This window comes from Homo sapiens, chromosome 13 (assembly GCF_000001405.40).
Source record: "Homo sapiens chromosome 13, GRCh38.p14 Primary Assembly".
NCBI classification, from domain to species: Eukaryota; Metazoa; Chordata; class Mammalia; order Primates; family Hominidae; genus Homo; species Homo sapiens.
The window spans coordinates 30,043,160-30,046,650 of NC_000013.11; the positions used below are offsets into that span (position 1 = coordinate 30,043,160).

Consider the following 3,491-nt stretch of genomic DNA (forward strand, 5'->3'; position numbering starts at 1 on the left):
AGGAGCTCTAAAAGTCCATGTAAACTAGAGCAGGGAGGCTGCTAACATTAACTGAGTGCCCGCCATGTGAAGCAAGGATACACACTGTATGCACACATCATGCAGTAGGCTGCTTGCAAATGACTCCTAATGATCCCTGCCTCCTGGCATTCACACCCTTCTACAGTCCCTTGTTTTTGTGAGCAGACTGTGTCTTGCTTCACAATAAAATAGGGCAGGTGAAATAGGTTGTATTTCTGAGGTCAGGTTATAAAAGGCTGTGACTTCCTTCTTGCTGGAATTCCTTCTCCCTCTGGCTCTTCTCCAGGACTTGCTCTCAGGAAACAAGCTTTGCTGTTGTGAGCTGCCCTCTGGAGACCCCCACAGGGCAAGGAATGAGGACCATCCCCAGCCAACTGCTGTAAGGACCTGAGGCCACAGATATTGTTTGACCATATCTATTCAGCCACAGTGAAAACCTACTAGGTAGGGTTGGTCTAACCTAACATATTGGTGCTTTGCTGGGGAAATTCCCAGAGGAAGTTCACAGTCCTGAGCATCAGTCAGAGGGAGGAGGCCCAACAGAAACTGAGGCCTGCTAACAACAACATGAGTGAGCTTGCAAGCAGCTCTTTCCCCCACTGAACCTTGAGATGACTGCAACCCAGAAGACACCCTGACTGTTGTCTCAGGAGCCACTGAGTTAGAGGACCTGTTAAGCTGCACCAAGATTCCTGAGCCACAGAAACTGTGAGATAACCCATGGTGCTGTATTAAGTTACTAAGTTTTGGGGTCATTTGTTACACAGCAATAGATCACTAATACACACTATTTCACTGAGTCTTCATGCAACTCGTTTTACAGGTGAGCACACTGAGGCTCAAGGTCACACAACAGCTAGACCAAGATTCAGCCCCAAAACAGTCTGGGTCTCATGCTCTTGTTCTTTCCCACAATCCTGTTCCTCCTGCAGACCTTGATCATGGGCATGGCAGGAAGGCCCCTGGGAGTCTGTTCTCTGGAGTATCCTGAGCTTTCCCGTGGTCATTTTCACAGATCTATGGTTGTCCATCTCACTGCAGCATGCAACATAAAACTACACGCGTGTCTTCAGAATCTTTCAAACACCAGGTTCAGCCCTTCAAACAAGGCTGGGCAACTTCGGGGAATGAAGTCTATTTTTATTTTTAAGAAGCCATCTGCCTTCCCTTTAGTTTAGAAATTTAACCAGAGCTGGAAAAGAATAAATAAATATTTGAGAATGGTGTGCAGTTGGGCAAATTTCTCTCTCACACATCTGTAATCTCTTATATTGTCAAAGGGCCACTACCAAGGATAAAGGAGGAATAAAGGATCAGTCTATTACTAACTATTGATACTTACAGTAAGGGCTCAGTGAAGTGACATTAGTGCCAGGCTTGTGGAAGACACTCCTGGGGCCTGATTCGACAGGCAGTGAAGTGAAAGTGAGCCACCCTGGCCTGCGGGCTTGGCCTCTAGAGCTCTCTTTCCCTCCCTCAATTTGCAGAGATGCATATTGCCCAGGTCATTGCTAAAGAGGCCTCTTCCCCATCCCAGCAATTTGATCACTTTCAGTGTCCCCTTGTCAGAGGGCAGACTTGGCCAGCATTGCCCCTGCCCTTGCGGAATGACTTGGTGATTGAGTGGGTTCCATCTACACCAAACAGGGATCATGTCCTCAGCCCAGCTCCTCATCCAAGAATAAAATCCTGAACTGGATTGCTTTTATTGTTTCTTAAGGAAAAATCTACACTAACAAATGAAATTAAGTAACACAAACCTGGCTAATTAGTCAATATCAATCACAATGTAGACTCAAAATGGGTCTCTTCTACAATGGTAGAAGCATTGACCAGAATCACCCAGAAATATGTCCCCTCCACATTCTGCTGGGATGAGGTGCCCTTCCTACTCTATTTTCACATAGGCATGTTTGTTCTTGTTGTGGAGAAGGTAGGGGAAGCCTCCTCCTTTGGACTCACTCTCAGGGCTGTGAACTCTCTCTGGGAAGTTCCCCAGCAAAGCACCGACATGATAAGTCAGACCAACACTACCTAGTAAGCTTTAGTTGTGGCCAAATAAATACAGTCAATCACTATCTATCCAGGAAGGGCAAGGCTATATAAGATAGAGTTTAGGGTTGTAAATAAATAAAAACTAAAATTAACCTAACAAAGCTAACATGCTATTTTATCCAAGGACAAATTTTTCATTGATTGATTACATGATAATCACACAGAAATGCAATGTATGAGTGTGATGGGTGTACTAACAAATAAGTGATTGACCTGCTACAAGTGTTTACAATTTTTCCTGTGTGTTTGTAATCAAACACGGTGGTCCCCATTGTCTCTACTGTAATATGCATTTTAATAATTAAGCAAAAGACAAAGGTAGAGGTTAACTCTATAGACCTGGGTCCCACGAACCCCCACTCTCTCTCCCTGGCTCTGTCGTCTAGGCAGGGAGAACTCACTGTAGCAGAAGAGCCAGTCCTCAAGGGCCTGGGCTGGGGTAGAGATACACCCAGGGAATGAGAGATGTCATGATCAGCGGCCTTGGAGGTGAAAGAGAGAGAAGCGGCAATGTAGACTGACCAGAGGCCTAGAGAAGGAGGCCAGGACAAGGCCCTTCTGGGAACAGATACCAGAAGCATAAATGGGCTGCTGTTGAGCAGACAGCACAGGCACAGGGGTAACTGGAGGTGGGAATCAGGCAGCTAAGAAAGTTCAAACTGGAAGAACAGACATCCTGACAAGGGCAGGTCACAATCCGAGCCAGGTGAGCAGTGGAGACTCAGTCATAGCCAATGCAAGTCACACATGGAGGGAAGATGAAGGAGCAACAGGCGTGAGCCTTTCTGAAATGTTTGGGGTCCAAAAATTTCTGTCCCATTGCAAAAACACCAGTAGCCTGTAACCAATACAACAATCAGGAAGTAGTATGTGCAGTGAGATGATTCCAAGCTTGAACTGGCCATGAGCCAAATATAGGATAGCTACCTAGCTCAGTGACCTTAGCTAACCTTAAGCCACTTAGTAAGCCTCCATTTCCTCATCTGTAAAATGGAGGTAATAATAGTAGCTAATTTATTGATTTGTTGTAAGGATTCAAGAAGAGAATGCATTCAATGAATGTATTCCCAGCACATAGTTAGTGCTTGACAAACAGAAAGTGTAGATGCCATTCCTATGAACAATAAATCCAAGAGTGGCTTGCAATGCTGGTCCAGTTCCGGGGGTGGGAGGAAGCGAAGTCAGACGTCTGTTGTCTTTAAGATGCTGTGGGCAGGAGTCTTTTACATGCAAGCTTGAGAGTTCTCCACAAAGCAGAATTAATTAGGTCATCCCTGCGATGCACCTCATATTCCTCACCCTTGTCTTGATGCCTGAACTTCCAGAAACCTCTTCCCCTGACTTCAGGCATCTGTCCAGGTCCCTTGGCCACACCCCAGATTTCCTGATGCTCTGCTTCCCATCGGGACTTGGAA

General features: G+C 45.8%; 2 annotated features.

Annotated features, from left to right (window-relative positions):
- Positions 2,111-2,612: an enhancer, noted in NCBI's record as "H3K27ac hESC enhancer chr13:30619407-30619908 (GRCh37/hg19 assembly coordinates)". NCBI's record gives its function as "activates a minimal SCP1, AML or CMV promoter by ChIP-STARR-seq in naive H9 embryonic stem cells {active_cell/tissue: H9 hESC(naive)}" and the evidence as "EXISTENCE:reporter gene assay evidence [ECO:0000049][PMID:30033119]".
- Positions 2,613-3,112: an enhancer, noted in NCBI's record as "H3K27ac hESC enhancer chr13:30619909-30620408 (GRCh37/hg19 assembly coordinates)". NCBI's record gives its function as "activates a minimal SCP1, AML or CMV promoter by ChIP-STARR-seq in naive H9 embryonic stem cells {active_cell/tissue: H9 hESC(naive)}" and the evidence as "EXISTENCE:reporter gene assay evidence [ECO:0000049][PMID:30033119]".